The sequence below is a fragment of the Homo sapiens genome, chromosome 10 (assembly GCF_000001405.40).
Source record: "Homo sapiens chromosome 10, GRCh38.p14 Primary Assembly".
Lineage (NCBI taxonomy): Eukaryota > Metazoa > Chordata > Mammalia > Primates > Hominidae > Homo > Homo sapiens.
The window spans coordinates 105,093,264-105,119,828 of NC_000010.11; the positions used below are offsets into that span (position 1 = coordinate 105,093,264).

The 26,565-nt window shown below is 38.9% G+C and overlaps 1 protein-coding gene across 2 annotated transcripts in view; it reads left to right on the forward strand.

Annotated features, from left to right (window-relative positions):
* SORCS3 (sortilin related VPS10 domain containing receptor 3) overlaps positions 1-26,565 on the forward strand; it is a 623,953-nt gene that overhangs the window by 451,974 nt on the left and 145,414 nt on the right. For both annotated transcript variants that reach the window (NM_014978.3, XM_011539542.2), the window contains one exon: positions 12,134-12,252. In NM_014978.3, the coding sequence (NP_055793.1) occupies positions 12,134-12,252 (119 nt within the window). The remainder of the gene's footprint in view (positions 1-12,133; positions 12,253-26,565) is intronic.

A 26,565-nucleotide genomic window follows, 5' to 3' on the forward strand; every position in this document is an offset into this window, starting at 1 on the left:
TTTAACTCCAAATAGATCATAGATCTAAATATAAAACATAGATTTATAAAACTTTTAAAAGAAAACATAGGGGAAAATTTTTATGACCTTGGGATGGACAGAGTTTTTTAAAATTACACTAACAGCAAAATTGATAAAATAAATAATTGATAAATTGAGCTTCATCAAAATTTACAACTTTTGCTCTTCAAAAGATACTGTTAAAACACTGGGAGAAAATACATGCAAATCAATATCCAAGAAAGGACTTGTAGCCAGAACATATAAAGAATGCTTAAAACATAGCAATAAAAAACAGCTCATTAAATAAAAGTTTGAATAGATCATTTAGCAAAGAAAATATAAAGATTACAAATAAACACATGAAACAGTGCTCAACATTATTAGACATTAGGGAAATGCAAATTAAAACCATAGTGATATATCACTATATATCTATTGTTATCACCAAAATAAACAAAAATGACAATATCAAGTGCTGGCACAGAAGTAAAGCAATAGAACTCTCATACATTGCTGGTGGGGATGCAAAATGGTACAGCTACTCTGAAAAGATATTTTGGTAGTTTGTTATAAAGTTATACACATCTTATAACCCAGCAATCCCACTTCTGCTATATATTCAGCCTAGAAAAATGAAAAATTTATATTCACATTAAAACCTGTACACAAATGTCTGTAGAGATTTATTAATAATCACCAAAAACTGGAAACAAATATCTTTGAATGAGTGAATGTATTAATAAGCTGTGGCACATCTACAACATAGGATGCTACTCGGTATTACTCATATTTGAAACAACACATGAATTTTAAAGGTGTTATGTTGAGTGAAATAAGCTAATCTCAAAAGGTTACATGCTGTATTATTCCATTTATGTGATCTTATGGGAAAGACAAACTATATAGATAGAGAATTTACTGGTGGTTTCCAGAGTGGGGAAAGTATTTGACATGAAAAGCTGCATGAAATATTTTTTAGGATGATGTCATTGTTCTGTAACCTGATTGTGGTGGTGGTTACGTAAGTCTATATATCTGTTCAAACTTACAGAACTCTATGCCAAAAACTCACTGTGTGTACATTGAAAAATATGTTTGTATTAAAAATACTAAAATTAATATTTTTGGTTAATAAAAGCTAGGAGGCATAGTTCCTGACTTCTAGTTCTATAGCAATTCCTGCTTTTCTCATTCATTCATTTATTCATTCGCTTACTTATGCTTTTACCCAATCAACATCTACTTAAAATCTATATATACTGTGCACTGAGGGGACACACAGGTGAATGTGATATCATCCTTACCATCAAGGAGCTTCTAGACTTGTATTTGAATGATGGACAATTCAAATGATGGACAAGTATTAGAATGTTGCTAGCACACTCTGACAAGGACTTTAATGGAGTTGGGAATATATTGTGTTGAATCATAAATGAGATTGAGACTAATGACCTAAGCAAGTTAGGGGAACCATCTCAGAAACAGAATGTTTGATTTGGTACTAGGGATTAGTAGGAAATTATCTGAGCATTCTGGATAGAGAGAAGAAACTTGCAAGTTCCCAGAATCATGAGAGGTGGTATGTGCAAGGCTGTAAATTATAATCTGGAAAAGAATGAATGGAGATAGGTTGGTGAAGGTGGGTTGAAGAGGATCTATGAGGGAACAGGTAGGTAGCTTCCTGAGCCACAGTTCATGCTGCACACCAAGCCATCTATGGCCATCCTTGCCTGTTTATAATGATAAAGCTTCATGAAGCAATTATATTTCCCCCAGCTGCAGTCTCACATATGGATGGTACCAATCAATCTCTGGTCACTTCACCTTCCGTTCTACCTGCCTCTTTTATCTGCTTGTTTCACATTTAAGATACAGGAAGAGATAGATGAAAAGCTAGGACTCATTTCAGCTCATTCAGACCCCAGCCTCCATCTCTGGAGCACAAGGCAGCTTTTGCTCTGTTTCCCTGGTCCCCGATCCAGACTAACTTGGCTCATAATTTAGGAATGATTCTGAGAAATGGAGAAGTCAAGTGGCTTGTCTAGTGGCCCCGGACAAGTGGTGGAGGAGCAGACTGTGACTGTGGTGGTAGAGCAGACCAGAGACTAGCATCAGTGATGAGGTCAGGTAACATCCTGTACCCTGCTTCTCAGGGACTGTACTCTGAGCAGACAGACTTATCCAGTACCCTCAGCACTGCGTCCAGGTCTTTTCTTGCTTGATGACACCGGACTTGCCAAGCCTGCCTGCACTATCTGCCCAGGCAGATAGGTGGGCCTGGGGAGGGTGTTGAAATGAATGACTCTCCAAGCCCTGGTAGAGGGTTGCACTGCCCTGGCTGAAGTGTGGGCACCAGCAGCCATTAGGTACCACTCTTTCTGCTCAATCTCCATGGGAGCCATGTTTGCAATTTGTGTTTATCTTTTTGAGCAGTAAAGAGATATGGTCTTCTAGCTATTCACAGACAGGCAGACGTGGAGAGTAGACACCTAAATTCTAATTCCGGTTTTTCCACTGAGAGGCTGTGTGATCCAGGGAAACAAGTAAACCTCTCTAGGTTCCTTTTTCCTAATTATAAAATGAAGCAGAATTAATGATTTATTTATTCATTCAGGGAACAGAAGCAAGATCTGCTCATGAAACATCAATTAAATATTGCTCTATGTAGTTCCCAGAGTAAGATGGGGATACTGGCATCTACGCAAATATTAATATAGAAATTTGTGCTTTTCTTATGTTTGTTCATTGGTTCACAATCCACTCCTCTGTAATGGAACACTCTTCAGGTATAGAAGACAAGTGGTCCTCAAACCAAGCATTATAATCACCTCACAAATACACACACACACACACACACACACACACAGACACAAACAAACAAGCAGGCACACACACACCCTTACCTGGGCCCCACCACAAATCAATCAATGAAGTATCTCCTGGGAAAGGTCCTGGGCATTGGCCTTTTATAAAGTTGTCCTGCTGATTTTAGGACATGTAGGATTGAGAACCAACGCACTAGATCTGAGCTGGTTGAACTTTAACATGCATGTGCACCATCTGGAGAGCTTGTTAAAACATATACTCCCCATTTCTGACAAGCTCTCAGCTGCTGCTTCTGGCCTGGGGACTGCACTTTGATTAACACTGCACTGCACTGAGCTGCCGGGTATATACAGATAAAAAGGACACAATCAGCACCAAGTAGCTCACAGGCTAATGGGAGAGGCAGATATGCACACAGATCATTGTTGCAACACATTATGCTAAAGGCCACGGAGATTCTGCTGTAAGTATCATGGAAAAAGTGCTGTGGGGACCAAAAGGAAGGGTTGTGCAACTGCTGAGGAGTGACCGAAGGCTGCACAGAAGAGGCCATAGCTAAGCCTCATCTTGTGGGATGAATTGGATGAGTTTCCACCATCCAAAGGGATGGTAGAAATGGGGTGTGGGAAAGTTATGCTAGAGCTGTGCTGTCCATTATGGTAGTCATTTAGTCACAGTGGTTATTGAGTCCTTGAAATGTGCTGTCCAAATCAAGCTGTGCTTTAAGTATAAAATACATACCAGGTTTCAAATATTTATTATACTATGAATGAAAAATTGTTCCTTGATAATTTTTATATTGATGATATGATGAAATGATAATATTTTGGGCTAAATAAAACATATAAATGAACTTCACTTTTCTATTTACTTTTAAAACATGATTACTGAAAAATTTAAAAGGTCATTTGTGGCTTTTTCTTTTAATATATACTGGATGGTGCTGCTCTAGACTGAAGGAGCCCCAGAGAAGCAGCACAGAGCATGGCTTTTTCAGTTGTGTGGTGTGGCATTGACAATTCTGACTTTGACGCTGACTCCAACACTCTGGATCTAACCCAACATCAGCTGGTCTCTTTTCTTGTTTATATATCGGAATCTCTCCTCTGGCCTACTCCTAGTCTCCCTCTATAGGAGACAGACTTCCTGAATTAAACTGAAAGCATTAAATTATTATTTTTTGCCCTGGCAAGGTTTAAACAGGGCAAAGCCAACCAGTTTGGTTAACAACTGTGCGAATAATCCTATTTCTGTCATGAGATTCAGGATTCAAATGGCTTTTCCTCCCATTCGCTTCTGGAATTCATCTTTCTCTGAATGTCCCTGCACATGCTTTCTCTCTGACACAGTTACTCAGTCACAGACCGACAGACAGAAGGACACACACACCCTCCATTTAAGAGGCAATTAAGTGTCAATAGAGAGAGTATTAACTCGATGACATAAAAGTTGGAGAACTAACTGTCATTTAGACCTTGGACAAATTTCTTAGCCTTCCTGTGATCCCTCATCTGGTGTTTTACCTATTTGAAAATACTAACAAACATAAGAAGTATTTTTATAATTTATTTTTTTCATCAGTTTACTAATGATGATCTTGTTATAGAGTAAAATTGTCAACAAGGGAGATTTCAGTTCAATGAACAAAGCAGTAACAACAGAGAGTACCCAAAGATGACCTGACCTGGGCTGCTTTGTGAAGTAGTGAGCTCCTCTGCATGAAATTCCCAAGTATGGTGTCCCATGGGGCACTGTGATAAGTGAACCTGAACATGGGCAAAACATTCGAAGCATCTAGACATTCTAGAAATGTGCAGAATCAAAACCCATAGAACATATGCCACCGTCCTTTGTTTTCTTCTCATCATCATCCCGCATTAAGCAATCACGGCACTTCTTCTAAGGCAAGATAAAGCCTAATACTTCTTAACAGAAATTCCAGGCATATGTAAGTAATCAAATGAGCTTGGCACACAAGTGAAACTATTAGCTTTGAAGACTAAACTCTAGGCTCTAGATACATATATTATTGGCTCTTTAAAATATTGATTAATTCAATAACTTTGGAATTGTGTGAACTCAGAGCTCTAGCAGCTCTTTAAGACTTCAGAGGCCAAAACGAGGACAAAGTGGGGGCTAAAGGCAATGGGACTGCAGACTGCTTGCCTTCTGTTCAACCATAGAAGGCAGAGTAAAACTCACTTTATGGATTGAGATATAGGATTGTCTTTGATAGAAGGATTCCATAATCAAAAAGTCAGAACATATAAGAAATTCCCACATTATATTACATTCCAAAAGGTATCAAATTGTATAACAACTTGCCCAAGGTCACATAGACGGCTAGTGACAGGGAGTGACCCAGTGTGTAGATTCTAGTCAAATACCTAGCCCAGTTTCCTTTCCATGTTTAAAATACGTAAAGGTTAGAATCACAGGTACTGGTGTAAAATCACCTGGGTTCAAATTCTAGCTCCGTCACTTCCTAGAGCTGTGGAACTTAGGCAAATTACTTAATCATCCTGTGCCTCAGTTTCCTCTGCTATAACAGGGAAATGATAATAATTGTAACTCCCTGGGTTGTTGCAAGAATGAAATTAGTTAATGCATATAGTTCCTAGAACACCAAACAACACAGAATGAGCAGTCAAAAATGCTACTGTTGTCATCGTCATTGTCATTGTCATCATGATCTTCATATAGTCATCCTATTCAGGGTCAGTTTATTTAGCAGGTACAGTGGAAAGAGCCCTGAATGGGATGGTAGGACTGCTGAGATATTCAGTGTCACTTTGGTTTCTAAATATCTGTAACTGCCAGATTGCCTCCTGTGCCATCAAGGAGGCAGATAATGCTGGGATTCTCCTATGGGAGATGAGAAGTTTCACCAAAGCTCAAAATCCATGAACTCAGTAGAAGGAATGGAAACTTCCTTTTATTGTTTGTTGCCTTTGTTTGTTTTTAGAATCGATTATGCTTCAAGCTCTGTATTAGGTATTTGCAGCAATATTACTTCCTTCCTTGTCTTTACAGATAGGTTAGTTGCACTCCCCAGTCAAGAAAAAGGATGCTGATGGAAGCTAAATAACTTTTTAGAGTTACCTTGAATCTGCTTGTTTTCACTTATTTTCATTTGAGAGTTAATGTTACATAAAATAAACAGCTCACGGGTATTTCTCTAAGAGAAGGCCTAAAGAGCTGAATTTGCTTTTTGTTCACAATTTTAATTCACTTTTTCAATTTGTGACAATAGTATATTATTACCCAAAGGAATGGAAGTTGAGTAAATCACAGAAAGTTTTTTCTCTGAGATGACAAGAGGCTTGATGTCTAGGAAGTTTGAATGCTTAGTAATTCTCAAAGGCAAAACATAATCACGGGACACCATGTAATTAAACATAACAAAATGTAGAGGCTTTTAATGTCATTCAGTTCAGTTTAACCAGCATTCACTGAAGCTTTATAAAGTCAGCCCAGGAAGAGAAAAGTGGCTAAGATTTTATTTCTGCTGGTAAAGAGGTGATCCTTTTGGAAAGGTATGGCAGAACCAGAACTGGACTTTACAGTGAAATTTGTTGATGTAGATGAGGGGCTTGTCTTGCTGAATAGAGAAAGGCTGTGGCTGCCTGCCTGAGTCCTGTGCAACTTTGAGCAGAAATACAGCCTCTTAGGAAGAAAAGAAGGCTAAGGGCGTCAGATTTTCTCCATCTCTTCTCCCACATTCACCAGTTCTCTAAGCATCCTAAGGCATATTCATTTGTGAACATCCTGTCTCCATCACTGGCATAGGAATCTTCTGAGGGCAAGAACCTGTCTGATGTTCTCTGCTTCCTGGAACCTCAGGATGTGTCTGACACCTGCAGCTTCTCTATACCCCTTGAGCCAATACAAAAGGAATGAATCAGTCAGTGTAAGGCAGCCCTTCTCACCATATGAGATCCTTGGTCCCACGTCTGTATGGTGAGAAGACATGGATGCTGGCTCCATTTAAATGATGTTACAATGCTCCCTAAAGGGCCTGCTAGCTGTAGAGCTAGTTTGAAATAGGGGTGCATATTTCCAAATAGCAGAATAATCTTCTATTCCTGGTGCAGGGAACAAAGCCTTTGACTTTTCGTTTTTGTAAGTGGAGCAGTGACCACACCAGCTCTTAGAAATATATTAGGAAGACATTTTACATTTAGAAATATATTAAGCATGAAGATTATTTAGGAAATCACTCTCTAGTTTTTACATAGGGATATCCAAATGAGATCTTTCTACTGTCTGTTCTTTCTAGTTTTTCATTTGAGGATATTTCAAAGGAGAGGTTAGAAAATAGAAGTTCAAGAATAAGAATTAATCAAAGTCAATTCATTAACATGCAAGTATGTCACGTATTTCATGAGCTTTGCTTACATAAAAGTCCATGTGCATTTTTAACTCCCTCATTCAAGAATTTCCTTTCACATAGCACAATTTCACATCCAGGTTAAACTCAAGGGCTACCTCCTCTTTGAAGTTCTCCTTGATTTGTCCAGCCCATATACTTTCTTTCTTGTCCGAACATCCATTGCACTTAAGGTAAACGATGATTTAAATTCAGAATATGACTTCACTGTAGAACCTGTGATATCATGGTCTTTCAATTCTCCACAACAAAATAGGACATTTATTATAAATTGAATCTGTAAAAGATGCTGAGAGTTGGATTCCTTTCCCTTTCTCTTCATAATAAAAAATAACTAACATTTATTGATCTTTTAAAATGTATCCACAATGTGCTAAACAATTTTCATGCATAATCTTGTTTAATCCTGATGACAGTCCTCAGAGGCACATACTAAATTGTCTGTGCCTCACCGCTGAAAAGCCATGCTGCTACTTGGCCAAGGCCAGTCTGCACATAGTAAGTCCCGGATTTGATCTCAGCACTTTCTAGCTTCGGAGTCCTTGCTTTCAGAACCACTGGAGTATGCTCAAGAGATCTGGACCACTTTCATTTTATCTGGTATCTGGCGTTATTAAAAAACAAATAAGAAGGCCACACTTGTTGGAAGCCTATTTGGGGATTTTAAATTATGTCATAAATACCTTTGTGAATTTCATCATAGAATCTCTATAACTGTATTCAGCCTCATTTGGAAGTAATGTCTAGAATTCTAATTTGAGACATTTTGCATATGTGAGGTTTGAACGAAATGATATTCCCTGCTCACCCTTGACAGCCACAGTTCCTCCACGACCCTGAGTCACTTCTGTTTGACCGCCAGGCCTGCCTGACAATTTAGTTTCCCCATGCCCCTACTTCGGTTCTCTCCTGGCAGAGGGCACTGCGGCACTTATCCAATCTCTATGTTTTGAAAAATAAAAGCATTGAGACTTCCAATATTTGAGTCCAGCTAAGACGGCAAGGCCACCAAATTTTCAGTGATTTTCAAAAACTCATTTCAGTGCTGTCTTCCTGTTAAATTGGACCTTTCATTCCATACTGAGCAGTGGCAAGTAGAGAGCGAGCCAAGAACTAGGACAAGCTTGGCACAACATTATACCTGCTATGGGCCAAGGTTTAGGTAGGTTTTGATTTTGTTTCTGGTGGCCTCGAATACACTTGCTTCCTTTTTCAAAGTGTCCAAATGAGAGAGTGAATAGTAAATAGCCAGAGGGAAATGAACCAGTGTGTGGGAATAAGAAGGTGTCCCCCTGTGTGTACCTTTGATTACCAGTGCAAAGGGCTTTCTGAGACACTGGCTGGTAAGAAGGAAGCAGGTTGCCATATCAACACCTGTGGTTTCTTTACATGTTTTTACTGCAGGTTTTCATTGTTTTAGTGCTTTATTCTAGGAGTAAATTACTAAGACTGTATGGTTCCAAGAATATTCCTGGTGGGCTAGCAGCAATGTGCTCCAAAGCACAGCCTGGGCTCCCTGCCTTCCCCTCTCCTCTCAGCCAGAAGTGGAAATCCAGGCCACTCTTGGCTTTCTCTGTGAACCAAGACAAAAAGGAAGGGGCATACAGGCTGTCCTTAAAGCATGTTGGACAAGCTGTTGCTACAGGGTCAGGGAATGAGGGTAAGAAAGCCTGTCTCTTTCCTTATAAGGAAGGTCATGACCAAATTGCAGAGCAGAAAGGAATATAAATCATTGAACATGCACACATGTGTTCATTACAGCACTATTCACAATAGCAAAAACATGCCATCAACCTAAATGCCCATCTACAGTGGACTGGATAAATAAAATGTAGTACATATACACCATGGAATATCATGCAACCATAAAAAAGAATGAGATCATGTCCTTTGCAGCAACATGGATGGAGCTGGAGGCCATTATCCTAAGCAAACTAACACTGGAACAGAAAAACAAATACCACATGTTCTCATTTATAAGTGGGAGCTAAACATTGAGTACATACAGACACAAAAAAGGGAGCAACAGACACCAGGGCTTACTTTTGAGGGAAGAGGTTGGGAGGAGGATGAAAATAGAAAAACTATCGTGTGCTATGCTTATTACCTGGGTGATGAAATAATCTGTACACCAAATCCCCACAACATGCAATTTGCCTATGCACATGTGCATCCTGGATCTAAAATAGAAGTTGGAAAGGAAAAGAAAAAAAACAGTGGCTCCTGGGTTTCATTTGGAGTGTTGGCCTCAAGGTGTTTGGCCTGTACCATCTTTTATATTTAAATTACCTCTCAACCTTTTTTTTTTTTTTTTTTTTTTTTTTGTGAGATGGAGTTTTGCTCTGTCACCAGGCTGGAGTACCGTGGCGCGATCTCGGCTCAGTGCAACCTCTGACTCCCTGGTTCAAGCAATTCTCCTGCCTCAGCCTCCCGAGTAGCTGGGATTACAGGCACATGCTACCACACCCAGCTAGTATTTTGCATTTGTGGTAGAGATGGGATTTCACCATGTTAGCCAGGGTGGTCTGATCTCCTGACCTCGTGATCCACCCACCTCGGCCTCCCAATAGCTCTCAATTATAAAAATAAGGAAATTTAACATTTAAAAAATAGAGGCATTTAGCTTTTCTTAGAGACTCAGAATGTCTTCTTTTTGCATATGAATTCTGTGTGGAGGAGCAGTTCCCCCTTAAAATAGGCGAATGTTTGCATTTGAGTGTAGTCTCCGCTGCTCCTCAGAGATCCCTGACACTGAGACCTTGTGCCAGCCACCATTTATCATCTACCCCCGCTAGTTTTACTCTCATACATAATTTGCATGGCCCCTTAAGCGTTTGAGTTTATTAGGATAGTTATAAAGGCCTGCCATGTCATACAAAGTTATTCAGGCCATATCCTAAGGCACTCAGCAATAGTGGTTGTTTTGAGGCTGGGAGGTATTAGCCCAGGCTTAGGCTTTAGAGATGCCTTTGGCTACTTGTTTCAAGTCCATCCAGTTTCCAATTCATCATCCACATGGACCCTAGATGTGAAATGAGTGCAGAAGGAACACAGATGACAAGAAAGTGTCCCAGGCAAAGAGCACAGGTAATGGAGGGAAGAGAAGAAACTCTGGAAACACTTCAGAGGCAGAATTGTCAAGGATTGGGAACCAAATGGGATGCAGAAGAAAGAAAAGTTTAGAGGCTGGAGCTACTGTGCAGATGATGACTGTTGATGGGGCGAATGGAATCAATACTAGACCTAGTCAGATTATAGTTACCAAAGGAAACAGACATTGCTCAAATTTGAACATTCAAGAAATAGTTATATACAGCATGTAATGAATACATTTCCCATTAAAATATTTCTTTCTTAAAGTAGCATCATGTTTCTAAATTAATATGTGTAGTAACTAGCTACATATATGAGTAAACCCCTTCCTAGACAGAGGTTCTTTTAGAAAGGAAAATCTCTAATTCACTGCTTATTCCTAGTACCCAAACAATACCCAATATGTAGTGTGTGCATGAGAAATATTTGCTGAATCCATCCATAATTACTTAAACAGAGATCATTTAAAGTACCCATAGTTTAATCTCAATTGTTATACATTTTTTTCTGTAAGTCTTTTGCTTTTATTTATCTGCTGCCTACCACTTCCTTCTCTGTAGCCCCTGACACCTCTGCACACATATGTGCACATACAAGGAAACAATTGCATTAGATAGGCATATGTAATAATGCATGTGGTTTTAGATAATAAGATTTCTCTACTTTTAATCTTAAAGTGATTTCTACTTTCCATTTTGATCATTTATTTTTAAATTTCATTAAATGAATAACCTTTTTTAAAGCAAATTTTTTTGGTGGATTCTTCACAGAGACTCACCTGTAGTTTTTCCTTAATTAAAGAGCAAAAAAACCGAATGGATTCCCTTTCCTTGGATAACCTTCTAGTCATAATCAGAAAGCCTTTTGGAGCCAAAGATTTCCCATTCAGCTACAGCTGGTACCATGCATTTTTTGGGTTGCTTGAGGCGAGGGAGGAGGGTTCAGCTGTTGAGATCTCTAGAAGATTTTTACAAGTAATTATGTAAGTTTTGTACATGTTATGTAAGAAGTGAATGCATTCTTGTTGTAAAAATAATAAAAATGTATCTAATGTAAAAAGCAGAGGTCTCACTTGAATTCTGTCTACTTCCTTGAGTCCATTTCTTTGCCTAAAAGTAATCATAGCTAATTTTCATATGTATCCTTTAAACATTGTTCTGTGCAGTATGGCACAAGCCTAATTGGATCATACTACACATGATGCTAACTAATTTTTGAAAGATTGCAGAACAGTGCGTTTTGGAGAAATTACCATGTTGAAGCATACGTATCCACCGAATTCTTCTAATTGCAGCATAGTACTCTGTCATATGCATATATCATAGTTTATTTAGGTGATCATTAATTCATGGGCATTGAGCCTATTTCTAATTTTTTACTACTATGAACAATGCCACTGTGAATATCGTTGCCCTTGCCTCTGTGGAAATATGAGTCTTTCTCTAGAAAACATCTAGAGAATTAGAATTCTCTAATTAGAAAATTAGAGAGAACAGATTCTCCTTGAATTAGAATTGCTGATGTAAGATATGTACCTTTAAAATTCTGATACATATTTCAAATTTGTTCTTCCAAAAAGCTATACCAAATTACTCTTTCAGCAGTCTGATATGAGATGAACAATTTTTCCACTTCTCTGCCCAAATTAGATATTACGATTTTTTGGGAATTATTATAAATTCTGTGGACAAAAGCATGAAATCTCACTGTTATTTTAAATTACCTTGTTGATTCCCCCATGAAGTAGAGTTTTGTATGCTACCTGGGGCTCCCTCATGATTTTCACTTGTATCTAAGCATCACTCTACCCTCCTGTTTCAGATGCTCACTACCTCACCTGCAGGATCCAGGAATGTGCCGAGACAACTAGAAGTGGGCCTTTTGCCCGCTCCATTGACATCAGTTCCCTGGTTGTCCAGGATGAATATATCTTCATTCAGGTGAGTACAGAAAGTGCAGTTGGTGGTAGGAGGATGCATCGTTGAAGTTGGCTGCCTGCTAGGAAAAGGAGGGTGGCTTTCCCAAGGTTGTGAAGATGTGGAGTTGAGACACTGTCCCTCCTTTGCTTCAGGGACCCAGTCCTCTGGGGAGAGCCCAGACTTCTACTGGTTTTAGTGATGCACTGAATCCTTCCATTGGATTGCCATTTTATAGCACAGGAGCTGTCTGAATTGGCTAGTCTTGGGCTGGGTTTGAAGTAACTTAGTCAAATTTCTAATGGGATTTGACTTTAAGTAATTTATCAAAGCCACATTCTATTTCTACCCAAAGTGACTTGTATAACTTGGCAATGAAAATCCCCTGTAAATTAAGCATCTTTAGGATTCTTTTTCTGGAAATACCTACTACTCACTAAACTTTCCCCTTCTTTCCAGTGCTGACTACCTTCTCAATGTCCATGTCCCAAAGCGTTTACTCCCAGAACTGAGTCTTAGGAAAAATTAGATGGGACTCATATTTAGGCAGAGCAGGGAAGCCTTCTTTTACATTTTCGGTCTTCTTATCTCTATTGTGTACTATAAGGAGGTACAAAACAGGACAAAAATAAGGGGAACAAAAGGTAGTGCTCCACCAGATGACTGACAGAGGATGCATGTGATAAATCAAACATGGTATTTGATTGCAACCTTGATTTCCCACACTCTGCCTTTCCATCCTTCTATTCTCAGTTGTTTTGCAAACTATTCCCACAGGAAAGTTGAACTTTGAAAACTCCCTGAGTTGGCTCAGACCTAAGCACCTGAATGACCTTCTCTACCTGACCCCTGGTAGTTCAGTCCAGATCAATCCCATCTCTTCTAGGAGACTTTCTATGAACTTCCAAGCTCAGTGTGACTCTCCATCCTCTGAACCCTTGCAACTTTATGGTCTATACCATTCCTCTAGCACACAGGCTATCAATGGATTTGTCTTCTCTCCAAATTGCATTTTACACTCTCTGAGAATGGTGATGATATTTTATACACACAGTTGACCCCTCTCCCTTGGCCCTAACAAGATGTCTTTGCATATCAGGGGTGCTCAGTCAATATTTGTTGTATTGAACTGATTGTAGGCATCGCAGTTACTTCTATCTATAACTTAGTTACATAGATTTTTGAGGTCTAGTAAAATACAGGAAAAGTAGCTAGCCACTCAAAAACCATCTTCGATGAGGGAGTGAAACAGGAAGGTTCTGTGGCTTCAAAAATCCCTGTTTTTTAGCTTGACTGAAATGCAGAATCTCAGAATTGTATTTCTAAGTCTTGGCAGGCCAACGGCACTCTCATTCTCTTATTCGTAAGTGTTTGTTTATTGAACACATACATTGCAAAATACATAGCACCAGTCACTACTCTAGAGTTCCTCAAGTTTCTGCCCTTGACCTGCTTCTCTACCCAGTACTCGCTGCCTGAGCAATCCCCTGGTTTTAAGGACTATTTCCAAGGTTTGATGACTTTCAAGTCAGTGAGCTGTGACCTCATGTACTGCAGCCTTCCATATCAAATAACCAACTCAGGATCCCAACATAGACATTCCACAAGTAAAACAGAACCAACAGGTCACCCTTGACCTTGACCCTTACACAGTTTGTGGCACAACCCCCTACCAGGTCAGTCAAAGTCAGTCTGTGTTGCCAAATTAAATGAACCCACAGCCTCTGTTAATATCTCTCTTTGTGATTTCTGTAGTGTTTCCTTTTATTCCATTCTCATTGTTATGGTCCCCATTTAAGGCCTTTATCTCTTTCTATTTAGATTTTTTTTTTTTTTTTTACAGTGGAAGCACAGGAGTGAGTTATGAATTTACCAGTCGGATTTCCCTTCCCTTAATGCTAAATATGCTAGAATTGTTTCTCGGAAACATGACTTAGAATGTAAAATGTTCAGACTTTTTTCATTTTTCCTTGTGTTCCATAAAGTTTGCTGTAACTCCGCAGACAGATACACAGATTTTTTTAAAAATTATTCTGAAACATTCCTTTTTTATTATACTGGAAGCAGACGGAAGTTTTGTCTTTAATTAGCATCAATTTTTATTTTCCTTGAAAAGATATGCGGTTTCATTATTCAATAAAGTTTTACTCATTGCCAAGTATATGTGAGGTCCCCTGTTCTAGGTGCTAGGTGCTGGGGTTAGGATAGTGAACACAACAAAGTTTCTGCCTTAGTGGCATTTAATTCTAGTGGAAGATAGGAAAAAATATGTGTATGATGTAAACATCCATATATACATAGATGAAAAGTTATAAAGAGTAATGGTTAAGAACATATAATTTAGAGTCCAAAACCTGGCATTTGTTGAAACTGTGGCATTCCACACTTAGCTGTGTGACCTTGAGCTGTGCATCATTTGACTTATCTATAAAAAGAAGATAATTGTAGTACCTACTTCATGGGTTGCTGGGTGGATTATATTTATTAACGCTATCTGTAAAGCAGCAAAACGATGCCCTAGAAACAGTGTTATATGAATATTTGCTTTCTATCTTTTATCTATCTACAAAATGTATCAGATAATGACAAGTCCTATGAATAAAAATAAATCAGGGACTGTGAATATTGAAGCTATAAAGGTATTGCTGTTTTATTTAGGGAGACTTAGGAAGGCCTCATTGAGTGGTGAACTAGGAACACGGTGGCAGAAGATAGTGCAGTCAGAGAGGAGCGTGGAGCCAGGTTGTCAGGCCTTGGCTTCCTTGAGCCCACATGAAGATGGGGAGTGGGCAGTTAGAGATTTGAGTCTGGGTTCAGGAGCGGGGGTTCGTCATGGAGCAGTTGCAGCTGAGTGTATCCATTGTAAAGTTTATAGTATATTGGTGGCATTTTTAGACCACACAGAATTGCCAGTCGCAGCTGAGTTGATCTATTGTAAAGTTGCCAGTATATTGGTGGCATTTCTTAGACCACTAAGAAATAAGTATTGATAGAAAAGAGAAACCATCCAAAGACTGAGCCTCAGGCTACTCCAATATTCAGAGTTCAATGAGATGAGCAGAAACCTGCAATGAGACCTAGATAGACAATTTAGAGATAAGGCCGGAAAGGTGGAGGTGCTAGATCCCACTGGGCCTTGAAGGCTTTATTTTTACTATCAATGATGTGGGAACCAATGGATTAACAATGCCCCAAATAATGTGAAAGGCCAATAAACTTGAGAAAAACATTGGATTTCATTAATCATCAACTAAACACAGATTACATGGTATCATTTGCAACTATCAATTAGCTAAGATTGAAATATGGTAAAAGAATGCCAATGAGTTGCAGGTAGACAACTACATACAGTGTAGGTACAAATATAAATCAGTGGATCATCAGCATTTAATCCACCTTTTTCTTCTCACAGGTGAGTTTGGCCATTTGCATTGACAGATATGACATATATGTCTTAGTTTTGACAGTATATTCTTTGTGTTTAATTATGATTACTTTAAAACTCCCATTATATGGTCTGTTTGCTTTCCTGTGTGTCTGATAATTTTGAGTATTTGTATTTTTGTTCTAAGTGCTTAGCTTTATGAATAGAAATTTATATAACATACTGAATCTTCTATTTCTGGACAATATCTATTGATTTCCTGTTGGCAGCAATTACAAAATCAGTGTATTTCCTTGAATTTCTAATTTTCTCCCTCTCTTTAATTCTTCCACTACCTAATTTTGAATAATTATTTTCTAATGTTTGTCTTACTGCCTTAAAATATAATTCTGTTAGACTTAAATATTTTATGAAGCACTACAGAAGAAAGGTGAAAAAAATAGTATGTGTTTATGACCTCTTGTCAGATTCCTTTTTCCAACCCCAGTTTGTTGACGTCATCATTTTAGAGCATGAACATTCTACTCTGCACTGTAATTCCTGCATTTATTTTGATTTTAGTCTTATAGGTAAATGTATTCAGTTGTCCCCAGAAGTCTTTTTCCTATAGTTTTTCCCATTTATCTCTTGGTTATCTGAAATTTGTCTTCCAAGAAAGGCTAATTCTTGAATGCTGAAAATATGTTTGTCTGTATCTTTTTATATTTTAATATCATTTCTCAGGGTATAAAATGTATGTGTCATCCTCTTTCCATGAGAATTTTTACTCCAATAATTTGTTACTATTCAGACCAGTCTCATATTTTTCATTAAGGCATCTTGTTGTTGTTTTATTTTGTTTTTTAACTTCAATACTTAAAGCCTTTAAAAAATATTTTGGCCAATATATTGTTATCAAATATATTGATACAATATATTATATCAAAATAAAAAATATTTTGATACCAATTACTCATTAGTTAGCATATGCCTTGTGGTTGGCCATAATGTACTGATTCTTCTGGAATATTAATTTTTTTGTTAAATAGATTGAATTTTTTCTTTATTTTTTAATTTCTCGGGAGTTTCTGTGGCATATCTTGAAATATGTTTTCTATTTCAGTTTTGTAGTTTTGGTTCCTTTCTTCCAGGACATCTAGGATGTGTACACTAGACAGGAAAGACAAAAGAGAGCCATAATTTCTCCCATCCCAACCCTTTTTTACTCCCTGAGCAAACTGAGGAAAATGAGATTAAAAACAATCTTACATTATTTTCTAGGCTCTTTTTGCTTTATTGCTTTTTTTTTCTTTTTCCTGTTTTTGTTTAACTTCTTTTCTGAGCTTTGCCAGTTTATATTGTGTCTCTTTCTCTCGTATCAACATACCTTCCCTGAGCTCTTGTATTTCTGCTTCAAACCCTTCTCTTATAGAGGTGAGCTCTTCATCATACAGGTTATTTTAAATTATAGCAGTGTGTTTGCAATTTTTATTTGCTCTATGGAAGCATATTTTATTCCATATCTGTTATTTGTTTTTCCTGTCCCTTTCTGTCTTTTATTTTCCTATATTATTTTATCATTATTATGCTATTTTCTTTTATCTTTATATGTTTAACTATTGCTTATTTTTTAATGCTGTGAGTTCTTCCCAGAAAAAGTATTTGAGGAGGTTCATTTTAGCAACAGATTAGGGCTCTGTTTCAGCTTAACAAGAATCCTTCTTGGTTCTCACTGAGGTTCTGTATGACTCAAGATTGTTTTCTCTGTGAGTGGGTCCTTCTGATAAGACAGAACCACCTGGAACACAATATATATGACTCCTTTCCCACGTATATTGTGTTTCAGAGTTAGATTTTCATTACGGATAGAGTTTGCATTTCCCTTTCTTATTTTTCTTATTGCTTTAGGGTGATTTATAATAGGAAAAGGGAGAAGCATCATTATGATTTGGCTATTTAAAACCATTTATAAATCCTTATTATATATTTTCTGAAATGTTACAAGAGCTTACTAATTGATTTTCTTCTCCCAGATCAACACCAACCTTCCCCACCAGCCAGTCACAGGGCTAAATCAATATTTCTACATTCAGTGGCAGCTCATCACCTATAGGGTGAAATCCAATTTCCTTACCATTGTCTACAAAGACCTCTGTGACCTGGATCCTACCTACTCCATCAGTCACATATGAATTCCTTACCCACCACTGCTCTTCACATTCCTTCCTTGTTTCATTGTAACCTTCAATAAACATAAACCTCTTTAGTCTCCATGCACAAACTGTGCCATTTCTTACTGTATATGCCTTTCTTATATATTTTTTTCCTGCCTGGGATGTCCCTTTACCAGACAAATTTATTATTTAAATTTAGGACAGACAGCACCTCCTGTAGGAAGTCTTCCCTGACATCCTCAGTCGGGATTGGACTAAGCTCCAATGCAGTTCTTACCCATTTGCATTATGTTTCCCCAGCCAGGTCTCTAAAAGGAATAGGACTGTGTGTTATTCGTCATTGCTTCTCTTGCTTCTCCTGCTCTTAGCATAATTACTGGTACTCAATAAATGTTTGCTGAACTGAACTGAACTGAGAAGATAAGACACCATCCTATTCTCAGGAAGTGTAGTTAGTTATCTTTTTCAAGCAAGGGAATCTTGCTTCTGCAGCTAACAATACAGGACAACTTAGCCTAATTGACAATTGCTCAATGCGTAAGAAATGACCATGCAATGTACAATGTCTCTGCGTTTTTATAAAACTGCTGTCCAGGAATTGCCCAATATATTATTCATTGTCCTTTTTATATTCATTCATTTAAATGTATTAAAATACATTCAGCCCAGTGGGAAATGCACATAACTAAACAAATATAATGTAATATGATGAGAGCTGTATTAGTGCAAAGCACATGTTGCTCTTGGAGAAAGAGCCTTTCACCTGACCCTAGAAGAGGGTCAGTACAGGCTTTCTCAAAAGAAGGCTATGAGTACGAATTAAGTAGGTGAAGGAGAAAGAGCATTCTGCCCAGAGGAGAAGGCCTGGGTAAAGTTAAGGAAATAAGTGAACACAATGTACCAGGACCTCTTATATAAGGGGCAGTTGTAATTGTGGGAGGGAGTGGAGTGGTAGAAAAAGAAGTTGGAAAATTGAACTGAACATTTTCTGTTTTCTTTAATTAAATCTAGATAATGTTGTGTTCCCCTCTTTATAGTTGCTAGAAAGCACAGAACTAATTTTTGTGTGAATTTTAGCAGCTTCCCCACATAAAGCTTATGGTATTGTTATTTTTCATATCCCTTTATGCTTTGCCATAGGCCATTTTTTATTCCTTGGCTGCTTTCTTATATTCTTTTTGTTTGTTTGTTTGTTTTATTTTGTGTGTGTATTGCTTTTAAAAAATTATTAGAAACCATCTCAAATGATTTTCTGAAACCAGTGTCATTTAAAAATCTTTTTTGGGGTGGGGGGTATAAGTTTTGAAAATTGAAATGATGATTAGGACGGGCTTTATGGAGAAGGTAAGATTTGTATCGATAGTAATCAATATCTGCCTGTGGCCTAGAAAAGGGCGAGCTTTTTCATTCTGTTCATTGAAATAAAGTTGCCTCTGCAGGTTTTGTCAAAGCAGAAAACCCACAGACCAACAGAGTAGCTTTTCCTACTCTATTGGAGAAGCTACACAGATGCTATATGAGCACAGTATCAGGGCATCAGAGGAGGTGGTTTTCTACCTGTTCCTGCCTACCAGTCTATCAAAGAATGGCCTTGGTACAAGAAGTCATAGAGCAGTGAGGCTTGAGTCCCTTCAAGGTGGCATTCCCAGGGAGTAGCGCCAAGGCAGAACTGGACATTGAGGATTGTGCATTCCACTGACAGATGCTTACTGGTTTGGCTTTTAAAGGGGATCCGTGTAGAGGCAGATTATTTTTTATTCCTACTATTTAAGCAGTTAAATAACAGCAAGATGAGGACGAGAGACTTTGGTGGGTTTGGTTTTTCATGACTATAGAGATTTGTCTACTTAAATTTCGAACTTTTAAAAGTATTGATGTCTTATATTTGGTTTTAGTGCTAACAGAGACATATAACTGAGAAAGAAGAAACAACCTCACAAACAAAGGAGACCAGCCTTTCCCTTCGTCCTTTCCCACCCTTATGTGCCAAATGGAGGAGGACGCCTGGAAAGGCTGGGCTTTGGGCTTCCCAGCACCTCCTCAAACGGAGCAACTCTGCTTTTGTTTGCTCTGTATATTAGGTTTCCTAATACTCCTTCGTTTGACAAAAGGATCCTGCTGCTAAAAAATGTTTGAAAATCACTGACTTTTTGCAGCCCTGTTGGCTGCATTGGTCAAAGGTGAGGCTTTTCCATGTGTGGACAGCTGAACCGTGTGGAATGCAGGTGAGATCCAGGCTCAAATCTTTTCTCTGCATATTAATAAATGTGATGCACATATTTAATGTGCAATTTTTTACACATGAGTGAGAGATTATATACAAATGTACAGTATATGCATTTGAGAGTACAGTTTAAATAATGAAAAACCTTGGTAACCTCTTTATAATGATATTCATTCATTAAATTAAACCTCTTCCCATGACATTAAAAATTTTACCCTCTCCTGGTTGCCCCTATAAAGGAATGTGCCTCATACCCAATCATAATTTTATTTCTCTTGACATATTATTTTTAATTCTGTGTCTTATGTGCAGTAGAAGGGTCCATAAACCACCCACACAGCTCCTACTATTTAGAGAGACCTGGAAGTTCTCTACTTCACCTTTTATTTTCCTATTGACTAGGAGGTAAAGGTAGCCATCCTGATGGTTTTGCTTGGGGGAACCCAGTGTTTGATCTCCTGCTGTTGGACAAGCTGAGCTGGAGATATACAGAAAGCTGTGAAATTTGTTAATCTGTCAGTTCCTTTTCTGTGTAGGGGACCTGGGGTTTTGTAGCAAAATCAAAAGAAGCTAATCCTTCCCAGAAGAGCCCTTGTTTTAATAGGGAAGAGTCTGCCTGAAATGCCTCCGTTCCACTTGGATAAAAGAGAAATCGGCTTTCCTCTGTAGGGGCAGGGGAAAGCAGTAAGTTGATTTCTGTGTTCTGAGCCAAGCTGGTTGAAAATCCTGTCTTTTCTCCTTATGGAGTAGCGTTTCTAGTGATTATCCTGGAGAATCTGTATTTTAGCAGCAGTTGCAATAAAATTCCTTTAGTAATAAGATTCATACCCTGGCTACCCTTGCTACTAGGGAATGTGATGAAGAAACAAGAACAGTCCCTTAGTAACCTGTCACCAGCAATGTGTATATTATGTCTGCAGTGGATTGTGTGAAACCCTGCCCTATACTCTCTTCATGGCACAGAGGGTGGCCTTCAATGTGGTAAGAGTTCATTTCATAAAAGAGGTATAATACTGACAAGTCTTCAAAAATTTAAAACACAAGAGGAAAAAAAAGTCCATAATTAAGATACAAATAAAGTACTCTAGAGGTAGGAAGAAAGCAGAAAATTTGGAAGAGGGACGGTCATCTTGCCTCTGCCAGGTCTTTCTCCACATCCCTAATGTCTTTGTTGCCTTAGCACAGAATGAAACTTTTCCCTCGCTGTTTTAAGTGAGCCTGTAGTACCCTGTGAGATGAGGTGCTGCAACTTGAACATTCTGGAAAAGGGCATGGTTTTTAGGAACTGAGCACAGGGAAAGGGTAGGAACCCTAAAGATACAGTTGGCCACTTGAGCCTGGGAGGGTTTGTGCTGATTCAGGCCAGGAGAAGAGAGTGGCTTCCTGAACCTGTGGCACCCACAACCACTCATGCAAACCCAGAACAGCTAGCTACTCCCTGAACCTTTGTAAAGATGCCAAGCGGACAGGTAACACTGTGTAGATCCATCTACTACCCAGTGGTATTTTCAACTCTCAGTAATATTCTATAGACCTGGCGAAGAAAAAAGAAACCTTATGTAACAAGGAATTCTGAGGTGGAGCAATAACATGTATCAGACTGTTTCTAGGATGATACCAGTACTACATTGAAGTCAATTGGTAGCTTGGATACATGTTGCTGTTAGTTTTAAGAGTTCTATGTATAAACATAGAAAAATAGTACTGTTATAAAGTGTTGGGAGATGTTCCAGAAGTACTAGCAATTAACAAGTATTGGTAGCCAATTAACAGATACTTGTTGAGCCCTAGAAGTATGCCAGGTGCAATGGAGCATTGCCCTGGTCTCCATCAGTTTATGATTCAAATAGCTAGTGGTCTGATGTGGAGAAAACAGCCCTGACTTTAAAGACCTGGGTTGTAATCAGGAATCTGCCACCTACCAGCCAGGAAATACGACACAAGTCACTTAAACTCTCAGAGTACTAATTTTCTCATCTCTGTAGAATGGAATCATGCTACTTGCCCTTTCTAAATTGGAAGGTTGTTGTGAGGATCAAGGGAGATAATAATGGCTTTGAAATGCTTTGAACGCTACAAAGCCCTACAAAATGCAAGAATTGAGAGACTAATCCACATGCAAAAATCAGCCTCACTGTTTAGTGTATGCACATCCTCTTTTAAGGATTTTTATAAGCCGATCACATAAAAGATTACTAGATCTTTTCTCCAAATTCGTTTTTAAATTATTCATAGATTCAATTCATGTATCAACATATGTGCATGATAAAAGCTTCCCACATAGCTTCCATGGTGTTGGTTTCTTTGATAACCAACTTTTAATGATATATATGAGATGTAACTATTCTGGGATTTAATTAACTTTCAAGACTGTTTTTGCATCTTGGTCTCAGCTCACCTGGATTTTGGTACTTCATCTAAGATCCTGATTTATATACCCATCATGGAAGGTAGACAAGCCTCTATGATGTGGCTACTGTATCCCCAGTAAATTACTATCTTTCTGAAAAAAACCCTGAGGCAGAAATTAATAGAGTGTAATTATTCAAAGAAAAGCTATTTGGAGATGTTTTAAATGATGTTAATTTGGTCTTAATGGGAGAGATTTTGAATGTTAAATAAATAGCAATTACATCATTAGGGACACATTTACAACACGGGAGTTTAAAGCAAAATGAAAGAGTTACAGAGACAGTCTTCAAAAGAAATCCAATGAAGACATCTTCAGGTGAATATTCTTGAAGTGCTTTCAGAATCTTAAGTAAAAGTGTTTTCAACAGCCAGCCCAAATGGAGGTTCTTTAAATAGCTTGGATGCATCTCCTATATGTGTAATGATTATAGTGGTTTGCTGTTAGTATTTGAAATACTTCTATGAATAAACACAAATTAGTGATCTGATTGCAAAGTAATGATATTTAGTTGACCTTTGTATGGAGCATACTCCATCTCACATCCTTCCAGCTATGTTTGCCTCAGCTACTAGCTTTGCGCAGAGGTGACCTGCTATCACCTTGCCTCACCTGCACTGTGGATCCCCTGTTCCAGGGCTGATTTATTCCCAAGTAGGATGCTTGCAAGAGACTCGTTACCTATTCTGGTGCAGATACAAGTCTTGAAGGTGCCAAAAATCTGGGACAACTTCAGCAACAGGAATCCAAAGCTGGTGGATCAGTGCTGGTGGGAATGTAAATTAGTTCAGTCATTGTGAAAAGCAGTTTGGCAATTTCTCAAAGAACTTAAAACAGGATTACCATTCGACCCAGCAATGCCATTATTGGGTATATGCCCAAAGGAAAATAAATTGTTCTGTTGTAAAGACACATGCACACATGTGTTCATCACAGCTTTGTTCACAGTAGTAAAGACATGGAATCAACCTAAATGCCCATCAATGGTAGACTAGATTAAAAAAAAATGGCACATATACACAGTGGAATACTATGCAGCCATAAAAAAGAACAAGATTATGTCCTTTGCAGCAACATGGATGGAGCTGGAGGCCATTATCCTAAGCAAACTAACACGGAAATAGAAAACCATATACCTCACGTTCTCACTTGTAAGTGGGAGTTAAACTTTGAGTACATATGGACACAAAGAAGGGAATGGTAGACCCCGAGGCCTACTTAAAAGTGGAGGGTGGGAGGAGGAAGAGGAGCAGAAAACTATCTATTAGGTACTATACTTATTACCTGGGTGACAAAATAATCTGTACACCAAATACCCATGACATACAATATGCCTATATAACAAACCTGTGCATGTACCCTGAACCTAAAATAAAAGTTAAAAAAAAAAACAAAACTAATGGATCAGTACTCTTCTCTTATGTCAGGTAGGCAAGTCTGAGCCTCATTCTACATGAATTTTCATAGGCTGTCTAGTGGGATTGAGCCCTAATTGCTGACAATAATAACCAGTTTAGTAATGCACCCTGGAATGGCCTTCTCTCCCTCCCTGTTTCCTGCTTCCTAGTTTCACCACTCCTGTCCCCAGATCATTCCTCAACAAACAAAAACGATAAACTACATAAAAGTCCTTGACTCAGGCTTTACTTTTGGGGGTAACTTAATGCAAGGCAATCTTGAATGACTCTCAAATATTTCTTGGATCCCTGCTATGTATCCAGTTATTGTAGGTAGAGTGAACTATTTAAGTGAAGTAGAAGGCATTGTTCTCATCCCCATATAAATGAGATTCCTCAATCTAAACATCCATTTCCATCCCTCTTCTCAAGGACCTGGCACTACTGATCACTCTCCTTTCCCCTGTCTTTAGCTTACTCATCCCTATGTTAGACTTTCCATCAATATTTAAATATTTTTAAAATATCCACCATCCTGACATAACAAAACAAAGTAGGGTAAAACTTTCTTTGAACCTACACCCCTCTGTAAGTCTCCCATGTTTCATTCACAATCAAATTTTTTGAGCACTAGCTGTATTCATAATCCCATCTTCTCATTTCCCTGTCTCTGTAACTCACTTGAGACTGACTTCTGCCTCTGCCACTGCATTGAAATTGCTTTTGCCAAGTTCATCAAAGGTATCTTTGAAGTATATCTAGACTATGCCTCTCAATAATTAACATAGTTGAATTGTCTAGAGAATTTGAACCTCTTGACTGCTCCTTCTTTCTTGAAGCATTCTCGTTGCTTCCTCAATAAGGTACAGTTCAGGGTCCCCTCTCATCTCTCCATCTTTCCAATATCATCTTACTTTCCAACACAGATGCCTCTTCCTCTGCCCACTCTTTAAATATGGGTTTTTCCTCAGTGTTCTTTCTAGGTTCCTTTTCTCTGTTTACTTCCTACCCTCTCTGATATGGTTTGGCTGTGTCCCCAGCCAAATCTCATCTTGAATTATAGTTCTCATAATCCCCAGTGTGTCGTGGGAGGGACCCAGTGGGAGGTAATTGAATTATGGGGGCGGTTATCCCCATGCTGTTCTCGTAAAAGTGAGTGAGCTCTCATGAGATCTGATGGTTTTTTAAGGGGCTTTTTCCCCCTTTGCTCAGCACTTCTTCCTGCCCCCGCTGTGAAGAAGGTGCCTTTCTTCCCCTTCTCCTTCTGTCATGATTGTAAGTTTCCTGAGGCCTTCCCAGCCCTTCCAAAGTGGAATTGTGAGTCAATTAAACCTCTTTTCTTTATAAATTATCCAGTCATGGGCAGTTCTTTATAGCAGTGTGAGAACAGACTAATATAGTAAATTGGTACTACAGAGAGTGGGGTGCTGCTATAAAGATACCCCAAAATTTGGAAGTTATTTTGGAACTGGGTAACAGGCAGAGGTTGGAACAGTTTGGCAGGCTCAGAAGAAGAAAGAAGACGTGGAAAAGTTTTGAGCTTCCTAGAGACTTGTGGAATGGCTTTGACCAAATTGCTGATAGTGATATGGACAAGGAAGTCCAGGCTGAGGTGGTGTCCGATGGAGATGAGAAGCTTCTTGGGAACTGGAGTAAAGGTCACTCTTGTTATGCTTTAGCAAAGAGACTTGTGGGTTTTTGCCCTTGCCCTGGAGATCTGTGGAACTTTGAATTTGAGAGAGATGATTTAGGGTATCTGGTGGAAGGAACTTCTAAGAGGCAAAACGTTCAAGAGAAAGCAGATCATAAAAGTCTGGAAAATATGCAGTCTGATGATGTGAGAGAAGAGAAAAGTTCATTTTCTGGGAAGAAATTCAAGCCAGCTGCATAAATTTGCATAAGTAATGAGCCAAATGTTAATCATCAAGACAATGGGGAAAATGTCTCCAGGGCACATCAGAGGTCATCACAGAAGCCCCTCTCATCACAGTCCCGAGGTCTAGGAGGAAAAATTGTTTTCATGGGCTGGGCCTAGGGTCCCCCTGCTGTGTGCAGCCTGGAAACTTGGTACCCCGCATCCCAGCCTCTCCAGCCATGGCTGAAAGGGACCAATGTACAGCTCAGGCTGTTGCTTCAGAGGGTGCAAGTCTCAAGCCTTGGTGGCTAACGTGAGATGCTGGCTCTATAGGTGCACAGAAGTCAAGAATTGAGGTTTGGGGATGTTCACTTAGATTTCAGAGGATGTTGGGAAATGCCTGGATGTCCAGGCAGAGTTGTGCTGCAGGAGTGAAGCCCTCATAGAGAACCTCTGCTAGGATAGTGAGGAAGGGAAATGTGGGGTGCGAGCCTCCACATAGAGTCCCTACTGGGGCACTGCCTAGTGGAGCACTGAGAAGAGGGCCACCATCCTCCAGACCTCAGAATGATAGATCTACCAACAACTTGCACTGTGTGCCTGGAAAAGTCACAGACACTCAATGCCTGCCTGTGAAAACAGTTGGAACGGGGCCATACCCTGCAAAGCCACAGGGGCAGAGCTACCCAAGGCCATGGGAGCCCACCTCCTGCATCAACATGATCTGCATGTGAGACATGGAGTCAAAGGAGATCATTTTGGAACTTTAAGGTTTAATGGCTGCCCTATTGGATTTCGGACTTGCATGGGGCCTGTGGTGCCTTTGTTCTGGCCAATTTCTCCCATTTGGAATGGGTGTATTTACCCAATGCCTATACCCCCATTGTATCTAGGAAGTAACTAACTTGTTTTA